At 44.0% G+C, this 20,945-nt stretch overlaps 2 pseudogenes, besides 4 other annotated features; one reads left to right on the top strand and one right to left on the bottom strand.

The window, feature by feature from the left end:
- Positions 1,610-1,905: an enhancer, noted in NCBI's record as "acetylation island sequence 101 enhancer". NCBI's record gives its function as "activates a minimal heat-shock promoter by reporter assays in Jurkat T cells {active_cell/tissue: Jurkat}" and the evidence as "EXISTENCE:reporter gene assay evidence [ECO:0000049][PMID:17135569]".
- Positions 1,610-2,029: a biological region, named in NCBI's record as "nonconserved acetylation island sequence 101 enhancer".
- Positions 1,885-2,029: an enhancer, noted in NCBI's record as "145 bp enhancer 17 fragment used in the MPRA reporter construct; PK_construct_3757". NCBI's record gives its function as "activates an SV40 promoter by MPRA in both HepG2 and K562 cells {active_cell/tissue: HepG2 | K562}" and the evidence as "EXISTENCE:reporter gene assay evidence [ECO:0000049][PMID:23512712]".
- Positions 1,952-1,962: a transcriptional cis regulatory region, noted in NCBI's record as "NFE2L2 motif; MPRA enhancer 17 activity is reduced when this motif is scrambled". NCBI's record gives its function as "necessary for full MPRA enhancer 17 activity {active_cell/tissue: HepG2 | K562}" and the evidence as "EXISTENCE:site-directed mutagenesis evidence [ECO:0005528][PMID:23512712]".
- Positions 7,922-11,146, bottom strand: HLA-W (major histocompatibility complex, class I, W (pseudogene); annotated as a pseudogene).
- Positions 11,347-11,775, top strand: HCG4P4 (HLA complex group 4 pseudogene 4; annotated as a pseudogene).

The following is a 20,945-nucleotide window of genomic DNA, read 5'->3' as shown; positions in this document are numbered from 1 at the left end:
ATATCTGGGCTAAACAGTTTAAATTTTTCCTCCAGGGAGACTTGCTTAGCAGCCTTATCCACAAGCCTGTTCCCTACAGCTTCTATAGTGTTTCTTTTCTGATGGCCATTTACATGAACTATGGCTGTCTCTGCTGGAAACAGGAGGCTTTCTAAAACTTGTTCCCCATGTACCAATTATTTTGCCCTGCTATTTTCTAGGCCCTGCTCTGTCCAGATTTTTTCAAAGGTGTGTACTACTTTATAGGCATATTTGGAATTAGTATATATAGTGTCTTCTTGATCTTCTAGGAGCTTTAGGGTTTGGTTAAAAGCATAAAATTTACAGGTTTGGGCTGACCAGTTATTGAGTAATTTAACTTTTTCACATAAGGATTGTTTGTTTTTGTTCATGACAGCACAGCCATTGTGTCTTTTACCATTTATTACTCAGGATGACCCATTCATAAACAACCTCATCCCATTATGTAGTAGAGTTCCTTTAAGGTTTGGTACTAACTTTAGTTTGATACTCTGTGATATCTAAACAGTTATACTCTGACGCCTTCTTATTCTCCTCTCCTTTTCATAAGAAACTGGCTGGTGTTAGTTTAGTCACCTCCCGAGGGCCCATTGACCCCAGGAGGTCTTGGGGAGGCAAGGGACTGATCAGCTGGCATCCCAGAGTGCCCTTGGCCGGGCCCTGCTGGGTTTGGCTTTGGGCCAAGAGCTGCTGGTTTGAAGATCTGCCAGCCTATGGAGCCTTCCCTGATGGGTACTCTCATTAGAAAAGGCATTTCTGGCTCCGCCCTCCCTTCCTGTTTTTTTTTTTTTTTTGTGCTTCAAAGGCACCGTTCCTCTCCGTGGCAGGCCTAGAGGTGCACTGTTTGTGTTTCAAGCAACCCCCACTGGTGACCCAGCAACTGTAAAGGGTCTCCAGTTTGTCCAGCCCTGGGAGGGGACTTAGTGGCTTTTCCTCCTCCTGGGCTGCAAGGATCCTCCCCTGGCCCAGCCCGACTCTGGGAAACAGAACTTTTACACATTCCACCTTAAAGCATTTTGGCAGACTTTTCCCCAGCACGAGCTCTCTCTACTTCAGGGATTGCAAACTGGCATCCTCTTTTGCCTGTTTTGGGTTTTTAAGTTATTTGAACAGAATATCAGCATTTTAAAATTATATTTTACATAAAAAGTCAGAATTTTGTCCTCTGACAAAGCAGACAATCTGAAAACACAGTGCCAGCACTGTAAGAAGAGCTGAGCAGCCGCCACAGTTCCCACCCAGCCCTGCAGCCCTCCTTTTTATTATTTGCTGGCCCTGTAGTCATTTGAGTTTACAGCCCTAGTACTGATTTTCCTTATGTAGCGACCCCAGCCCTTCTGCTGCCTTACTGACAGCTAACTGCCCCTGGTGGCCTTCCAGCCTCTCACTAAAACAACAACAAAACCTTAATGTTATCTTATTCATTTACTCTTCCATAACTTGAATCCTTTTGACCACCTCCTGATAAACAGCCATCTAGTTTTTGCTGTAGGCAACCCATTACACCTCAGGCAGCCTGATCCTAAACTCTCCTCCACATCCCTTTCTCACTTGCATCCATCCCCCAGTTCCCGGGTTTTGTCGTTCCTCAGTGGCCACGCACTGCATGCACCCTTCCCCTGCACCTCCTTGTTGCTTAAGTCCCCAGAAACTTCCCCCAGCCCTGCCAACCTCTCAGCATTCTCTCACTTTGTCTTGTACTCTTTTTTCCTTTTACATTATTTGTCTCCCCAGTTTTACCTTCTGTGTTTCTCTTTGATCTCTGTCTCTTTTAGTCTCTCTTGCTAATTTTCCTCTTCTATTCTCTCTCTGCCATCCCATTTCCTTTCTGTCTCACACTCAGCTTCTTCCTCTTTCTCTGGGCATGAGCCGAGCCGTGCTGTGCCCTGGCTCCCCTTGTCTGTCTGCAAAAACAGGCAGCTCTGCGGAAATGACTCAGCAGTAACCTTTATCAACAGCTTTTAGAAGCCAGCTGCCACACACAGCTGTGCCGCTGGCTCTCTCTTCCTTCAGGTATAGCAGCTTAACTCTCTCTCTCTCTCTTTCTCTCACACACACACACAAACTTTCTGAGCTTCCCTCAGTATTTCCTTAATTGGTTTTTTATTCCATCCGTTAATCTTTTGCAGTTTCTTAGTAATATTACATCAGCTTTTAGTTACAAAATTAACCTTTAAAAGGCCTTGCCCTACTGGGTCCTCTGGATTTAATCCTGAATATTTTTTCACTTGATCCCTGAGCCTCTGCAGAAATGCAGAGGGAGTCTCCTCTTCTTGTTGTTGGATCTTGAATGCTTTGGGGACGTTTTGTGTCCTATGAGTGGACTGCATAATCCCTCTAATTATTAGCTCCCTATGGTCTTGCATTTGGACCCGATCCCTGGGGTCATTATTATCCCATCCAGGATCTGCATTTGGGAATTTCTGCTTAGCTGGCAGGACTCCTTACCCAGGAGGATGCTGCTGTCTCTCCCAAATGATTATGGCTGCCCTTCTAATTATTCCCGTCTTTTTCCCAGTAAACAGAATATTCATGATTGAATTATCTCAGCCCAAGTATAAAAATTTGGTTCTAAAAATTGATCTAGCTGTTCTGCTAAACTGAGGGGATCTTCCGAGAGTGGCCTCATTTCCTTTTTAAAATTCCTAACCTCAGTACTTGTTAAAGGCACACTTACAAATCCAATTTATTATTATTATCATTATTATACTTTAAACTCTGGGATACACGTGCAGAACATGCAGGTTTGTTACATAGGTATACATGTGCCATGGTGGTTTGCTGCACCCATCAACTCATCATCTACATTAGGTATTTCTCCTAATGCTATCCCTCCCCTAGCCCCCTACCCTCAGACAGGCCCCAGTGTGTGATGTTCCCCTCCCTGTGTCCATGTGTTCTCATTGTTCAACTCCCATTTGAGTGAGAACATGCAGTGTTTGGTTTTCTGTTCTTGTGGGTCTTTCTCTGAGAGACCCAGAGAACACGTAGCTGATGGTTTCCTGAGAATGATGGTTTCCAGCTTCATCCATGTCCCTGCAAAGGACATGAACTCATCCTTTTTATGGCTGCATAGTATTCCATGGTGTATATGTGCCACATTTTCTTTATTCAGTCTATCATTGATGGGCATTTGGATTGGTTCCAAGTCTTTGCTATTGTGAACAGTGCCGCAATAAACATATGTGTGTATGTATCTTTATAGTAAAATGTTTATAATCCTTTGGGTATATATCCAGTAGTGGGATTGTGGGATTGCTGGGTCAAATGGTATTTCTGGTTCTAGATCCTTGAGGAATTGCCACATTATCTTCCACGATGGTTGAACTAATTTACACTCCGACCAACAGTGTAAAAGCGTTCCTATTTCTCCACATCCTCTCCAGCATCTGTTGTTTCCTGACTTTTTAATGATCGCCATTCTAATTGGTGTGAGATGGTATCTCATTGTGGTTTTGATTTGCATTTCTCTAATGATAAGTGACTATGGGCCTTTTTTCATATGTTTGTTGACTACATAAATGTCTTCTTTTGAGAAGTGTCTTTTCATATCCGTCGCCCACTTTTTGATGGAGTTGTTTGTTTTTTTCATGTAAATTAAGTTCTTTGTAGATTCTGGATATTAGCCCTTTGTCAGATGGACAGATTGCAAAAATTTTCTCCCATTCCATAGGTGGCCTGTTCACTCTGATGATAGTTTCTTTTGCTGTGCAGAAGCTCTTGAGTTTAATTAGATCCCATTAGTCAATTCTGGCTTTCGTTGCCATTGCTTTTTGTGTTTTAGTCATGAAGTCTTCGCCCATGCCTATGTCCTGAATGGTATTGCCTAGGTTTTCTTCTAGGGTTTTTACAGTTTTAGGTCTTATGTTTAAGTCTTTAATCCATCTTGAGTTGATTTTTGTATAAGGTGTAAGGAGGGGGTCCAGTTTCAGTTTTCTGCATATGGCTAGCCAGTTTTCCCAACACCATTTATTAAATCGGGAATCCTTTCCCCATTGCTTGTTTTTATCAGGTTTGTCCTTCCTTACATTGTTCTAATTCTTTCCTCAAGTTTGGATAAGGATTTAAGGGAGCATTGGGTTTAGCTCCTTCATGACCTCCCAAATCCTTTTCCTCCGACCTTCCTTTTGCCCCCTGATCTCCCTGTCCTCTACTTTGTGAGATGTATAGGGTGTAGGGCAAGCGTGTTAGGGGATCCCAGGGCTTTTCACTGGGTGAGGGCTCTTTACTATGCTCTTTTTATTTCTCTTTAAGGGGGAACACGGGGCTTAATTCACTAATCCAACAAACAGCATAACCCATCTCCTCTTGTGAAGATGGGGTTTTATCATTCACATAGAGAATTAAAGCTTGGCATATACAGTCCTTATTTGAGCTAAACTTAGGCCAAAGGACTGAAGGCTGACAAATGGGCTTTTTAGGCCAGATAAAACAGCAAGCAATACATTATTATTTTTTGTTTTTCCTTATTTCAGGTTTTCTAGTTATTTTTGAGTCAGTTTTGGCAATTTCTATCTTTGTATGAATCTGTCCATTTTATCTAAGTGGTCTAACTTATTGACTTCAGGTTTTTCAGAGTCTTCACTTATAATGCTTTTGAATTTCTAAAGGGTCACTAGTGATAATCTCTCTTTTGTTCACAATTTTGGTAATTTATCTCATTTCTTATCATCTCTGTTTTGACTGTTGGTCAAGAAAACAGACAGAGGCAGCAGATGGCTATGTGATTCTCTAGTGGGAAGGCTTTGATCATACATGGCTGGCAAGCCAGACTGATGGCAGCAACCCCAAAGGAGCTGCCAAGGGATCTTGACAGGAAAGTCACTGACTCTGGATTGGGCTATGCTCAACCAGGGGAAGAGGTCAATGCTTCAAGGGCTATGAAATCACCAGAAAAAAAGAGATTGCACCAATGTGGACTGCTGAGTCCCATTTCTTTACGCAAGAAAACACACTTTACAGCCTCAAATGGCTAACAATGCACAGGGAGATGTCCTCCTCAGAAGAAAACTTTGATAGAAAATTGAAATGGTCAGTTGAAGCATTGTTTGTCTAAAAACTGGCAATATAGTTGTTGGGCAATATAAACATGAAGGACTGGCTTTTACATCTTCATGAATGTGCTCACTGTCCACATGGGTGGGGCTGCAAGAGTGACTCCTCTAGATAGCTTCCTCTCTTTTACCTGATGGATCAGGATGATGCTGTTATGACTATACATACAATTCTTCTGAAGGGGAGAGGATGCTGGAATAATGACTACGCTTCACCTCAAATTTCTTTTTTCATATGTGATGCAGTGGTACCAGGAATAGGGATGAAAATCAAAGTGCCAGAAACAGGAATTATCTTTAAGCCAAAAACCATAACTATATATTTACATCTTTATATAAGAATTCTCAAGCAACTCAAAGATGGTGCTATGCCTTCATTTCATCTGGCAAAGTCAGGATTAACAGTAAATAGAGCTATATAGCCTGGTGGTCAGATGGCCCCCACTAGTTCCTTACCTACATAACCTACCCTCTATGACCAAGAGTAGACCGAGGGAAGGCATGCTAGAATACTATTGCTGCCTGCAGTCTAGGTCAGCACAGCAGACAAACCTGATGTCACCTCTAAAACTGGAAAAGACTGATATAAAGGGACAGAAGGAGGAATAATGGCTGAGGGTAAGTGACTAAATCAAAGGGTTATATAATGAGGAAAATTCAATATTAGCTTAACTCCTCAAAAGTGCTGTGAGCAAGAGAAGATATTGTCTCTTAGGTCAATTATACTGGGTGCCTAAAAGAGTGAAGCCATATGTCCTTGAGACCATTCTTGTTTTTGGAGCCTGGTAAGGTTGAGTGGTGTCTGCAAACCTGAGTGACTTCATTCTGGGAGACATATTCATACGAGAGGATGGTGAACTGTTCTAATTTTGAATGACTGAATGAGACTCTGATAATACGCCAATACCTCTTTACTTTTATAATCCTTTTCCTATAAAAGATATGTGGTCAAAGAAAAGCGGGTAATCTGAGGTATAACAAAAACATTTAGTCTTTGTCCCTGGTTTCTCCTAAAAACCTTAGAATCTCTTGAGTGATAAGAGTTAGAATATTGATGAGAGGACTCATGGCTGAGCGGACCCTGGATATCTTGAGAATGGGGGCTGAATGCCAGAGACACATACCTGTGATGAGAGCGCTGTCTTATTCCATTTTGTGTTGCTATAAAGAAATGTCAGAGACTGACTAATTTATATAAACAAGGTTCATGTGGCTTGGGATTCTGATGTCTGGAAATGTTTGAGCATTTGGTGAGGGCCTCAGGCTGCTCCCACTCATGGCAGAAGGCAAAGGGGAGCTGGTATGTGCAGAGATCACACGGTAAGAGAGGAACAGAGAGCTTAGGAAGTTGCCAGGCTCTTTTTAACAACTGTCTCTCTTGGAAACTAAAAGAGTAACAATTCATTCACTTGCGAGAGAGGACAGGATCTCTTTATTCATAAAAGATTGGCCCCCATGACCCAAACAGCACCCATTAGGCCCCACGTCCAACACTGGGGGTCAGATTTTAACATGAGGTATCGGGGGTAAATATTTATATCATTACATTCTGTCCCTAGCCAGCCAGAGCTCATGTTTTTCTCCCATTGCAAAATATGATAATTTCCCAATTGTCCCAAATGTGCTAGGTTGTTCCAGCATCAACTCAAAATTCCAAAGTCTCATCTGAGACTCAAGGTAAGTCCCTATAGCTGTGAGCCTGTAAAGTTTTAAAAAGGTTATTTACTTCTAAAATATTAATACAAGAGTGGAAGAGACATTTCTTATACATTTCCATTCTAAAAGGAATAAATGGGCCAAAAGAAATGAATGCAGTGTCCTCACAAAGCTGAAACTCATCATGGAAGATGTTAAAATTTAAAGCTCTAAAATAATCTCCTTTGACCCTATATCTTGAATCCTGAGCACACTGGTTCAAGTGGTGGGCTCACAATGCCATTTGCAGCCCCACATCCTTGGGTTTGCTGAACATAACCCATATAGCTGCTCTCATGGGTGAAAATTGAATACCTATGGATTTTCCAAGCTGAGCTTGCACATTGCCAGTGGCTCCACCATTTAGTAGTCCTGATAGGGGTCCTGCTCCTGCAGCTCCACTGGGAATTGTCCTGGATATTAAATTTCCCCTTTAAATATCAGTTCCAGTTTCAGATCATTTTTTTGCTCACACATATGTGCATAGACTATTACAACAGGAAGCCAAATCTTGAATGCTATGCTGCTTAGAAATTTCTTCTATCAGATACCCTTAATCATCACCCTCATGTTCAAAGTTCCACAGATCCCTAAGGAGGGGGCAGAATGCCTCCAAGTTCTTTGCCAATGCATAACAAAAGTGACCTTTTCTCTAGGTCCCAGTAAGTTCCTCATCTCCATCTGAGACCTCATCAGCCTGGGCTCTATTGTCTATATCACTATCAGCATTTTGGTCACAACAATTTAACAAACCTCTAGGAAGTTGCAAGTTTTCCCCCATTTTCTTGTCTTCTAAACTCTCCAAACTCTTCCAACCTCTACCTGTTACCCAGTTCCAAAGACATTTTCACATTTTCAGCTACGTTTATTGCAGTACCCAACTTCTGGTACCGATTTTCTGAATTATTCATTCTCAACTGTTATAAAGAAATACCTGAGACTGGGTAATTTATAAAGACAGAAGGTTTAAATTGGCTCATGGTTCTGCAGGCTATATGAAAGTATGATTCTGGCATCTGCTCAACTTATGAGAGGACCTCAGGAAATTTTCAATCATGCTGGAAGGTTAAGGGGAAGTAGGCATGACTTACAAGCCTGGAGTAGGAGGGAGAGAGAGCAGGGAGGTACCACACACTTTTAAACACCAGACGTTGTGAGAACTATCACAAGAACAGCACCAAAGAGATGGTCCTAAACTATTCATGAAGGATCCATCCTCATGAGCCAATCACCTCCCTGAGGTGCCACCTCCAACCTTAGTGATTACAAGTGAACATGAGATTTGGGTGGAGACACAGATCCAAACAATATCAGGGGTGATGGTGGACATGAGGGTGGGCTGGTCTCCCCACTTCTCACATGATACCAGGGATGTAGACACATTCAGACACCTTGGCAGAAAGAGAAGACAGAGGCCCTTGAAGTCACAAAGGGGAGGCATGAACAAATCTTGCATCTCAGTCCCTCACAAGGCAGTCTTAGAAAAAAAATAGTCATGAACAAATTCAGATCAGTCATAGTAAGTTGTGACACTGAACAGCCCACCACACCCTGAAAAATTCCAAATCAAAGAATCTCCAGAGCCTAGTTGTGTCCCCTATGCCCCAACTCCTCCTTCCCTTCAGGCCCCCTAAGTTGTCATTTTACAAGCCTTGAGAGACACATCAGAGCCCTGGGTACTGTCCCTGTTTCGGGTGGAACAAAAACAAAATCTGGTCAGAGCCCACAGATGATGTGACTAAAGGAGGAATTTTGGGGTGGTGAGCTCCCCCATGGGCTCCTGTCTACACTATCCCAAGGATCTCAGGGATCACTCTTCCCACCCCTACCACACTTGCATGAAGCCTTAGCATAGCTGCCTCCTTTTCCATCTGTGGAAAGAAAATAAACTGTGAAAGGCCAGGGAGGAAGCAGGGTCATGAGATCCCAGAGGAGTGTCCAGAACTGTGACTGCAGACCCAGGTCAGAATCAGGAAACCCTAGGTAAGAGGATGTGTTGAAACTGGACTAATTGTCCTAGTGAGGTCTGTCCTCTGCGGGTACCTTCCCCTGACCTGTGACTGCTGGGAGTCAGGTTCCCATGACTCCAATGAAGGTGATAAATTTGTCCTTCATTTTCACAAGTTCTTTACAAAAGAGTAAGTGTTGATAGACAGAGATGGTGCCTCATGACTAGGCAGGATACAAGCCAACTCCCATCTGGGGCTGGGAATCCACCAATGGAAGAAGAAAACTCGGAGCTCACCCCTTTCCTACCTGGGCTCTTATTCTTCACATCACAGCAGTGACCACAGCTCTGGTGAAAACAGCACCAAGAACAACCAGGACAGTAACGATGCCCATGATGGGGCTGGTGGGCTGGGAAGACAGCTGTAAGAAAGGAGGGGAACGTGAGGGGCCCTGACCATCAGGCCTCAAACCCTGACCTTGCTGAAGGGCTCCAGAAGGGCTCCTAGTTCCCGTGAGAAGAGACATGACCCCTCATCCCCTTCCTTACCCATCTCAGGGTGAGGGGCTCTGGCAGCCCATCGTGCTGCACATGGCATGTGTATCTCTGCTCCTCTCCAGAAGACACCACCACAGCTGCCCACTTCTGGAAGGTTCTGTACCCTGCAGGTGTGGTCTCCACAACCTCTGCATCCTACATTTGGTCCTGTCCATCCCACTACTGGGTCAGTGTGATCTCCACAGGGTAGAAGCCCAGAGCCCAGCACCTCAGGGTGGCCTCATGGTCAGAGATGGGGTGGTGGGTCATGTGAGTCTTTGGGGTTCTGAGGGGAAGAGTCAGAAAATTCAGGCACTTTGCATTCCTCATGGGACATTCCACCTCATGGGACCATCCTGAAAATTGACGGGACACCTGAAGTGGGGAAGGGAGCAACTCAGACACCAGTCTAGACACAGGCACCTGGGGCAATCTTCTATTCCTTAGAAAGTTTTAGTGTCTGAGGCCGGAACAGAGATTTCTGGTCCTGACCTGAGCGGAGGCCGAGGTCAAAAAAGCTGGAATCAGACCCACAAATACACATTGAGTGTGAGGCAGAGAACAAGGCCTGAGAGGAAAATTCCTGGTGCCCAAGGCTGCTGTGGGGACAAAGGGGACCGCGGATCAGTATTTCAGGGATTGTCTTCCCCTCCTTTCCCTCAGAGACTACATCCTTTAACTGTCCCAGAGTGCAGGGCAGGCCCTCAGTCACTCTCTAGTATAGGATCTGAAAACCCGGGAGGACTCTTCCTCCTCACAAGAGGGAGAGGGATATTTTAGCGTTGGTCCCATTTTCCTTCCCTTCTTTTGGAATGTGACTCAAGGAGATCTGCAGGAGATCAGGGAGGCACCCCGTGGCCACTGGTACCTGGGCACTGCAGCCTCTCCTTCCCATTCTTAAGGACTTTGCTGAGCCACTCCGCCCACCTTCCCTGCAGGTAGGTTTTGAGCAGCTCTGCCTGTTCCTCCGCCAGGGCATCTGAGCCGCCTTGTCCGCTGCAGTCCAAGAGCGCAGTTCCTGGTTTCGGACGAGGTAACTGGCGCCGTGATAGGGTATGTTCATACCCACTGAGGAGACTGCAGTCCGAGTCCACGTCGCAGCTGTGTACCCATTGAAGGGTGTGAGACCCATTCCCAGCGACTGCGGTCAGCCCAGGCCGCTGAGCCCCGCCTCAGCCTCGACGGAGCCCCGCCTCAGCCTCGACCAACCCCCGGGGATTTGGGCCTGAACTGAAAATGGAATCCGGTATAGGCGCCTGGGGCTTTTATTGGGTGGAGGATCTCCGCTGGTCCCGCAGCGGAGTAGCACAATCTTAGTAACAGTGGGTAGCGCAGTACAGTGGCTAGCACAATCTTGGTAGCCCCTGAATGGTCACGAATCTAATTTGTAAAAGAGGTGATTTTTGGCCCCATTATATATAAATGTGTCTAAACGCATTGCAGTTAGACTCACAAAGTTAAGTTTTACTTTCCCAGACTGTGTATCTGTGACTCTGGTCTGTTGTATTTTTAAATTATCTTTATCTTATAGCCCTGAGTTTGTGTGCGCGAGTCCAGGACATCTCAATACAAAGCACAATGTGTTACCGTATATTGCAACCAGGAGCCTGTACAGAATTTAATCACCTCAAATTTGCAAGTGCTCAATGCAGCCAAAGTGCCCTTCACCAGTGCTCATGCACCGCCTTTATTTATCATTTATTTAGTTAGTTAGTTATTTTTAGACCGAGTATCACTCTGTTGCCCTAGCTGGAGTGCTGTGGCACGTTCATGACTCACTGAAGCCTCGACCTCCTGGGCTCATGCGATCAATGCTCCTCCTTCAGCCTCCAAGTATCTGGCACCACAGGCTTGTACCACCACTCCTGGCTAATTTTTCTAAAAAAAAATTTGTAGAAATGAGGTCTCCCTATGTTGCTCTCGCTAGTCTTGAACTCCTGAGCTCAAATGATCCTCCTGCCTCAGCCTCCCAAAATGCTGGTATTACAGGCATGAGCCACAATGACCATCTCATGCACCTGCCTATATTTAGGAATTATTCACATCTAAGCTATGTGCATATTTTATTGGGACACCTGGTATTCTTTTCTAACCTGTTTATCATAAGGAGGCAATTAGTTATTAGACAGCCCCACAGAATGTATTAAAGACCAAGGTGCAAGTAACACTGTGCCAGGCTCTGAGGATAAATGGATTAAAAATCTATAAAACCCTGTGTTTAAGTCTGAGAATTCCATTGCTTTAGAATTCTTTCTCTCTGTTCCTTTACCTCACCTCCTGCTTCTCCAGCCCTTCTCTCTGTCCCTGTCACCCATCAGGCCCTCCTCTCCCCTTAGTCTCTACTACTCTGTCACTACTGAATTGCGGCCCTAGCTCTGTCCCCTCGCCTGCTGCCCATGACTGTTCTCCCAACAATGGTCAGAAATCCTGCTAATGTGAGTCAGATTGTGTCATTTCTTCACTTAAAACACTCCAATGGCTCCATCTCACTCTCAAGAAGCCTCTAAAATGGAAGGCACAAGCACAGGGGCTTTGGGTTGTTTTGATCAAAGTTGTGTCTGCAGCATCTAAAAGCATATCTGGCACATAGTAGGCACTAAGTTAATTTTCTTGAGTGAATGAAATATGATTGTGTTAAAAATTGTATCACACAAAAATCACAAAATGAAAAATGCAAAGCAAGTTAGGAAACATTTGGTTTTATGCAACTACTATGCATATCAGTTCATAAATTCATTCCATTGGAGGAAATGTCATATGCTTAGCTGTTGAATCTGTTTATGAATTTTCTATTAGTACATAACCAATTACCACAAACTTAGTGGCTTAAAAGAGCACTCATTTATTTTTCTGCATTTCCTTCATCAGAAATCCAGGCCTAGTGTCAGAGATTCTTTGTTCAGGGTTTCGCAAAGCTGTATCCTCATCTTAAGATTGGGATTCTCCCCCAAGCTTATATAGAGCTCGTTGGCAGAATTCGGTTTCTGGTAATTGTAGGACTAAGGTCCCTGTTTCCTTCAGGCTATCAGAGTAGACAGTGGGGAGGGCTTCTACTTCCTATTGGCCACCAGTGTTCTTTCACCATGATCCCACCATTTTCAAAGCCCACAATGGAGGAAGCCCCTCACACTGAATCCCTCTCACACTGTGAGTCTCTATTCTCAGGAAGAACCCAGTCCTTTTCAGAGCTTACCTGATTAGGACAGTCCAAGCAGGATAATCCCCATCTTAAAGCCAACTGACAGGGGACCTGGAATACATCTGCAAAATCCCTTCACAGCAGCACCTACATTAGTGTCAACCGAGTAACTGGGGTAATGTGAGCAACCAAGGGTGGTTATTGGGGTGTCATCATAGAATCACCCTAGCATAGCCTGGCTCTTCCTTTTGTGTTTGAATAGAACATACAAATTGAAGGTAAAAAAAATTGATCATTGTTAGTGATAATAAAATATATCTTATATAACCATGAAAATTCTTGTTAAATATTAAAAGCAAATGACATGTTTAATATCTTATAATCAATTTAGAGCAAATGAAAAATTCAATGATTCATCCTCTCTTGTGAAGGTGTGTTAGTTATCTACTGATGCATAACAAGTCACTTAAAACTTAGCAACTAAAATCAACAAATATTTATCATGTCCCACAGTTTCTAGTGGTCAGGAATCCAGGAAAGTTTTCTCAAAGTTCTTCTGGCTCAGGGCCACTCACAAAATTGCGGTCTAATTGTCATCCAGGGCTTTATCATCTGAGGGCTCAAATGGGGCTGGGGATTCACAAGTCACAAGAATATCCCACGTGGCTGTTGGAAGAGGCTTCATCTTCTTATTGTCTGGCCCCAGGAGGCCTCACTTCCTAGTCACTTGGAGCTTTCCACAGGCCTGCTTATGACACAGCAGCTGGCTTCCCCCAAGGCTCATGATCCCAGAGAAAGAGAAAACCAGAACCAAAGTAGGAAGCTGCAGTGAGTTTTTTGTTTGTTTGTTTGTTTGTTTGTTTGTTTGTTTGTTTTTTGAGACAGAGTCTCACCCTGTCACCCAGGCTGGAATGCAGTGGCTGGATCTTGGCTCACTGCAACCTCCGACTTCCAGGTTCAAGTGATTCTCCTGCCTCAGCCTCCTGAGCAACTGGGATTACAGGCATGCACCACCACACCTGGCTAATTTTTGTATTTTTAGTAGAGACGGGGTTTCACCATCTTGGCCAGGCTGGTCTCGAACTTCTGACTTCATGATCTGCCCTCTTGACCTCCCAAAGTGTTGGGATTACAGGCGTGAGTGACCGCTCCCAGACTTAGTGAGTCTTATGATCTACACCCAGAGTCACAAACTATTATCTCAACATTACTCTATCAGTCTGTAAGTGAGTCATTAAGTTCAGGCCACACTCACAGGAAGGGAATGAAGCTGCACCTCTGCAAGGAGGAGTATCAAAGAATTTATATGCATGTTAAGTATGTACAGTATGCATGTTAAGTAACGTACAGAATGTAATCACCTCAAATCTGCAAGTGCTCAATGCAGCCAAAGTGCCCTTCACCAGGGCTCGTGCACTGCCTCCATTATTTATTTATTTAGTTAGTTAGTTAGCTAGTTAGTTATTTTTAGACAAAGTAACACTCTGTTGCCCTGGCTGGAATGCAGTGGCATGCTCATGATTCACTGAAGCCTCAACCTCCTGGGCTCATGCCATCAATGCTCCTCCTTCAGCCTCCCAAGTAGCTGGCACCACAATTAACATTATTGTTTCAGGATTTTGTAAATCAAATACTTCTTGTATCTGACTAATTTTCTTTAATACTTTAAAATTATCTTTTGTAAAGTAATGAATAAAACTTTGAGACAGAGAATGGAGATACAACAATATCTCAGATTTTTTTTGCAAATGCCTTTAATATTAATGTTCTCTTTGATGAGTTGCAAGAAAGTTGAGAAAATACAGTAGCTAGACCAAAGAGTCCCACGACTGGTGCCGTATAATAATGCCTTTACAATCATAACTATCTTTCTTTTTCCTCAGAAGCTACTAATTCCTTTTAAGAATGCCCAAAATGTCAATTTTCTTACTCAAGCTTCTACAAAAATATTTGCCTAATCAGGGTGCTTTGCAGTTAGAGAAAATGTGTCTCACATCTTTGTCTGTACAGCTAGCTTAGCATCACGACAAAGATTTGGTTTGATGTGGTAGGCGGAAATGGTTAACTCCAATCTAGGAACACGATTTTTCAATAACTGGGTATTCAGTGTGCATCCATTGATCAATTTAACATCTTTCGCTGTGTTTTTTAATTAGATGTGGTAGAAGTGATTTGGACTCCAGTATGATTCTGAAAAATACAGTTATTTTGTGCTTCTAATGTTGCTGTAAAAGAAGCTCTTTCGTGTTTTCCATTCGTATTGCTATTTCATCACTAGTTATTCCTTTATGTGTTTTCATTTAATTTATTTTGCTCGACAGTGCTTTTTTTCTATTCTGTAAAAGTTTAATTCACTTGTATCCGTGGTAAAATTGAGCAACATATCAAATTCTCAAATTCTTTGCGAGATACAATTGCCTTGCACATCAGATTGAACATTGTACACCAGAGAATGTAGAGAGTTGCCAATTAGCCAAGAATCAAATGACCTATTTCTATCAAAGGCTATTTTTTCATGGCATCCTGGTACTCTCTGTCACATGGCTCCTTACAATTGGCTGTGGCTTTGTTTTAACTCATGTAGTTATTGCTAAGGATCCTTGCAATGAACTTTTGTGTTTTCTTTTCTCTTTCATTTCCAAATAATCAGGAATGGCACACAAGGTGCATTTTGAAAATTGCCACTATAAATATTTGTGGGCCAGGAGTGGTGGCTCATGCTTCTAATCCCAGCATTTTGGGAGGCCGAAGTGGGTGGATCACCTGAGATCAGGAGTTGGAGACCAGCCTGGCCAACATGGTGAAGCACAGTCTGTACGAAAAATACAAAAATTAGCCGGGCATCATGGCAGGTGCCTGTAATCCTAGCTACTCAGAGGCTGAGGTAGGAGAATCGCTTGAACATGGGAGGCGGAGGTTGCAGTGAGACGAGATCACACCATTGCACTCCCGCTTGGGCAACAAGAGTGAGACTCCATCTCAAAAATAAATGAATAAATAAATAAATAAAGATTTATGATCAAGTAACTAATTACCTGGACATCCTCTCCTGGCATAAGAAACAGAACCTATGAAGCCACCCTAGACTGTTGCCCAATCCTATCCACCAAAAGGAACCTCTATCTTGAGTCTTGTATTTACTAGTCCTTTGCACTGTCTCTAAAGATTTTTACAATAAATATATATACCCAAATCACAGTCTGACCTGTTTTTTTAACTTCGCTGTACAGAGAACTCACACTATATGTATTCTTCTGTGATGCATGTTATGTGTAGGAGAGTTATCTCTGATGTGGGAGGGTGCTGTTCAATCATTTTTACTGCTAAAATTTTACTTTTCGTAATTATATCAGAATTTTGTTAATTCCCATTGATGCATATGTGATTGTTTCCAGTTTTTTTGCCATAAACATTGGTGTACACGTCTCTGGGACACATAGCCAAAGATATCCCCAGAGTGTATGATCAGGAGCAGATGGTGGGATTATACAGTGTATGGACATTAATCATACAAGATAAGGCTAATTTGATTTCCCAAGTGCTTGTACCAAGAATGGGAAAGAACTTATGTTGCTCATGTGTTCTGAAAACATTCAGTTGAAGGTGGAGATTACATGTTAAAAAACCATTGTCTTGGCTACAGAATCACCCTAGGCATTTTTTCATATTCCATTAATACCTTCCTTTTCTTTACTTTTATCCTGTAAATTATGGCATTATACTTTAAGCATAAGATTCAAATAGTGATTCTTTTTAGCCTAACCACATAGAGTTTATGAAAAAGTGGAGGGAGGGAGAAAGCTCTGAGGGAGGAAAGGAGGAAAGAAAGATGGAAGGACAGAGAAAGACAAAATGAACATTTTCAAAAAAGAATAGGAGGAAAGGATTAGAAACAGCAAGTGTGGCTAATATTATTAAAATGCAGGAAATTAAAAGATGTAGATAACATCCATGGAATAACAGAAACTTAAGAAAGCCTTAATAGTTATTAACTGCTGTGTCACAAACTACCTCAAAATTTAGTGGCTTAATACAACAAATATCTGTTAATTCAAAGAGATACTACGAACGCGCGCAAAATAGATTTTATGGGGGTGGCAGAAGTTGGTTAAAGAGATGGATTTTACAGGTTGGAATAAGTAAGAGTTATTGGTGTGCACATGGCAATGCTTTTTAGTCCAAGTCCTCCAAGGAGCAGATGCCAAGATGAGCTTAAAGTCTACGGCATCTTATGAGGGGACACACCTGTAAGGGAATATGAGACGCGAGCCAGAAATCCCTGGAAAAGGCGGCAGACAATGATGCAAGTGTGACCCCAAGTGCTGGACAGAAGGAGACAAGGTCTGTTCGACGCATCCTAGAGCAGAGGCAGTCTAAGGAGAGTTGAGGAAGGGCATGGAGGAGTCCTGGAGCCACATTTGGCCATCAGAGGAGTCCCATGTCTCCCAGTAATGGCCTGCCTTAGTGTGCTTGCTGTGACCGGTCACTGGCTGGGAACAACTCATGGAAGCAGGGCTTCTGCACTAATCCTGCTGAGGATGTCAGAGCACAGAAGCAGAGACGTGGGACATTACCTAGGAGTATCACTCAATCCTTCCTTCCTGAGGGTTCTGGGCTCTTGAATATCAAACCCTCTCAGGCTGGGTTGCTGGATGATTCCGCTCACACAACGGACAAGGGAAACCAGGACGTCCCCAAGTGGATTCCTGGTTTCCACACACACTTCTCCTGCCCTCATTGTGTGATAGCAGCGCTGCCTCCTCCTCTTCTCACCTGCTTGTCTCTGGGCACATACTATTCAAATATCCCTGGGTGCAACCACAATGTGTAGTTCCATGGACTCTCATTTGTCTCCTTGCCAGGGTGCCCTCTTTGGGAAACCAGGACCTCCTACCCTGCAGAGTCCAGATTTTGGAAGTAAGAAGAGCAAAATCACCCTGGGGGTGAATATAATGAATAAAATAAATACATACATACATACATGCATAAATAAATTTATTTAAGTATTCATGTTATGTATTTATTTACTTATAAGTAAATCACCCTGGGGGTGAATATAAGGAATGAGACACACCTGCTTTGACTTCTTGGTTTTTGGACCCGCGTATTCTTCCTTCTGAAAACAGTGCCTTAGAGACGTCTTTGATTCAATACATGCATCACATCCTGAAAGATGGCACCCATTCCTCAGAGGGTTTCATCCAAGCTGGTACTGAATTGTGCCTGTAGAGTCCTGTCCATGACTCTGTGTGCCTGGCAGCACTTGAGAGGCGCAGGTGGTGATACGACCAGGGGATCCCATGGTCAGGGCCCACACTTCATCCCCTTCCCCAACAGGTGTGTCCCCCAGGCAGATAGTGTACTGAAATTCTGAGCCAGTGGATCAGGAATGCCAATAGTGTTGTTGACTGAGGGTCTGAGAGCAGAGAGGAAAACCACACCACATCGCATCCCTGTGAGCCTATCCCTGTGAGGATAAACTTCTGCCCCTTCCAGGATGGATGGTGCTCAAGCTATTCAACTTGTCACTTAGGGGCTAGTCAGTTACTTTAAGAAATAGTGCCCTATTGGTGCCTATCATTGGTCTGCAATGCTCACGAGCAGAGTATTCAGAGGAAGCAGTAGCTGGGTGGGCCTTGGTAGTGGAGAGACAGTGCTGCTGGACTCATTTGTAGCTTCATCCCTGCCACTGTGGTTGCTCCACTCACGGGTCCTTCCTATCAGGCCTGGGCTGATCCATGATGCAGACTGGCTAACTTCAATTTGTCTTCAATTTGTTTGGTTATTCAGGGCCACATCAGGACTGGGTGTTTTCTGTGGGTGTTAACATGGAATTGAGGCTCAACCGACATGGACCGTTTTCGTCTCATGATAGATGCCGCTGGGCCTGTCCAGTGAATGACTCTATGGGTCACATAGAAGCCAATACACACGGGCACTTGGAATCACATGGTTGCTTGGTGTCCTATGCTCAAGCATTCTATCTTATCAGGGCCAGTAACATGCTAAAAGTTGCTTCTAACATGGAGCATGTTTCTCTGCTGTGGACTCCATGGCCTTACTCCTGATCCCAGGCCCTGCATTCTGACTTTCCCACTGATGCTTGGTTCAGCTCCATCCTGCTTCTTTCCCCAGACCGCCACCTCCAGCACCAGGGGTCTGAGGGATGGTGACTGACTGCACCACAGCCTGGGTCTGCTGCAGTGTCCTTTCCAGTCCAGGCCCCACTCAAAGCTGGCCTCCTCCTATATCACCCAGAGTGTCAGCCAAAGCAATAAACTTAGATGTGGAATGTGGTGTTGCTAGAACCCAGAGAGGCTCACAAGGTAGTGTGCATCCTTCCTTCTGGTGAGGATGCAAGATGCAAGTGTGTCTTTTACTTTGTGTGTGTGTGTGGCGGCGGGGAGCTCTGCATGCCCCTAACCACTGGACCCATAACACTTCACTGCAGTGGCCACTCTTGAAGCTCTGTAAGTTTTATCTTCACCTTCTGTAGTGCACATGTTTTGCCAGGGAATTCAGCGTACTTTCCTGCTGTTGTTCATCCTTCCCAATTTATGTGATATTGCCAATGAAATGAAGAGATTTAGTATTCTGTGGGATGTCTGATTCGTCCAGGTCTCTTAAGGTGATATTTATAGAAGGTTGAGGAGTTAAGGTAGCCCTGATGCAAGCTATCAATAAATGTATTATAAATCCCATGTGAATGTGAATCATTCCATATCCATCTTCTAAATGAAATGGGAGGGAATGCACTCACCAAATCCACAGCTGCTTGCCATGTGCCTGAGGCCTTATTAATCTCCCCAGGCAGTGATATCCAGCCAGCATGGCAGCTGCAATCAGGACTCCTACTTGGTCAAGTCTGGAGTAATTCCATTCATTCTTTAGCCATATCAGGCTTCTGCAGGTACAGATTGCTGAGTTATATGGAGATAACAGGCAATCCCAACACCACCCCACATCGTTCAGGTCTGTAATGGCAGTGCCACCCCTATAATACCTGCAGTACCCTCCACAAGACCCACCCTGAGGCACAATATTGCTTCTGGTTTGGCTTGGATGAGGGATGTTTCCCTTTGGGCTTCAGCACAGTGAGATCCCTTACTCTCCAGACTAGGGACACAGTGTGGGGTGACTCCAGTTGCCAGTGCATCAAGGCCAATTATGCACTCAGAGAATGGGGAGATAACCAGGACAGGATTTATGGAACTGGTGATTCCACCATGGGGCATAATGTATCTAGGTTTATTCCCTGGCCTCTGTAAGCCCCAGTGTGATGGGGGACATAATGGTGCTGTAGGAATCTGGGCAGCAATGTCAGCTCACACCCAATGTTAATACTTATCCCATCTCCTGATTAAATGGCTATAGGCTCCTTTGCAGAAGGGCTGATGGAATTGTCCCAGCATATAACCATCATCGTGTCCCAAGGTTCTTTCTCTTAGGGATATAGATATGTCCTTAGTCACTGGATTCTGAATCTGAAGCTTGCTCCTCAATTCCACATGCTTATCATAGATATCAAGCAGTGCCCTTGCTGTCTGCCCATCTTTTCTGACCCTGGGACACCACCCTTTATTAACCTTCCCCACAACTCCTTGAAGGTCAAGCCCCCTTGGCTGATACTCTGGGTTATCACAGTAAATGTGCCCTCTATCTTTTGCAGGTCACTGAAAAGGAGGGTTCCTAAAGCATTCACTCCTGACCCTGAGGGAGGTGGGTGCACTCACTCCAGGACTCAGGTTCACCACAGATAAGCAAAAAAGTCCTCACATTCAAAATTGTCCTGGGCCACATGCAGCCCACGAGCCGCGGGTTGGACAAGCCTGCATCTAGAACGTATGCACCATAACCCCAGACATTTTTCTGTTTTTACTTTAAGGATGCTTTCTAAATGCAAAAGCAGTCATATCCCTAGCAGACAACAAATGTCAGTTGAATGAATGATCACTGTAGAGCACCTCCCTATTCTAAAGCCCATATCTTTATTAATGTAGCCACAGGGCAAATGCTGTTTTGTGGCAGCTAAAGAACATAAGTTCACGTGGACATCCATGCCGCCAGTGCTTTTCTCACCAGGGCTGCTTGTATGTCCTCCCTCCTCCCACACCAACCCTCCTGCACACTTCAGCACAAAACCATATATTTCTCTTCAGGAACAATAACCCTAGCCTTATGGGTACAATTTTCCAACCACATATGAATCTAAATTAGACTCTGCTTTATAAATCTATGAGTTTGGATTGGAGCCAGCACTAGGATTACTACAACTCAGAGCAGGAAGAAGAGTAGGAGGGCAGAAGAGGAGTTCCAACAGAAAGTTAACCATGATGAGAAACTATGGGACCCCTCCTCTCTGCAAATGTCACAATCTGGTTCCTTTAAAAAGATTGGAGAAAAATCGAAAATACCATTAAGGAAAAAGCCCTGGGAGGAAGGCAAGACCTGGACAGGTCTGAAAATTTGTCTCTTGATACCACAAGGAGATTTGTATGCAGGGACCACCCTAGGTGACATCCAACTCCCTGTGATCACAGGTCTTGGTGGG

Source organism: Homo sapiens, chromosome 6 (genome assembly GCF_000001405.40).
Source record: "Homo sapiens chromosome 6, GRCh38.p14 Primary Assembly".
Classification (NCBI taxonomy): Eukaryota; Metazoa; Chordata; class Mammalia; order Primates; family Hominidae; genus Homo; species Homo sapiens.
This window is presented reverse-complemented; position numbering and strand designations above follow the sequence as displayed.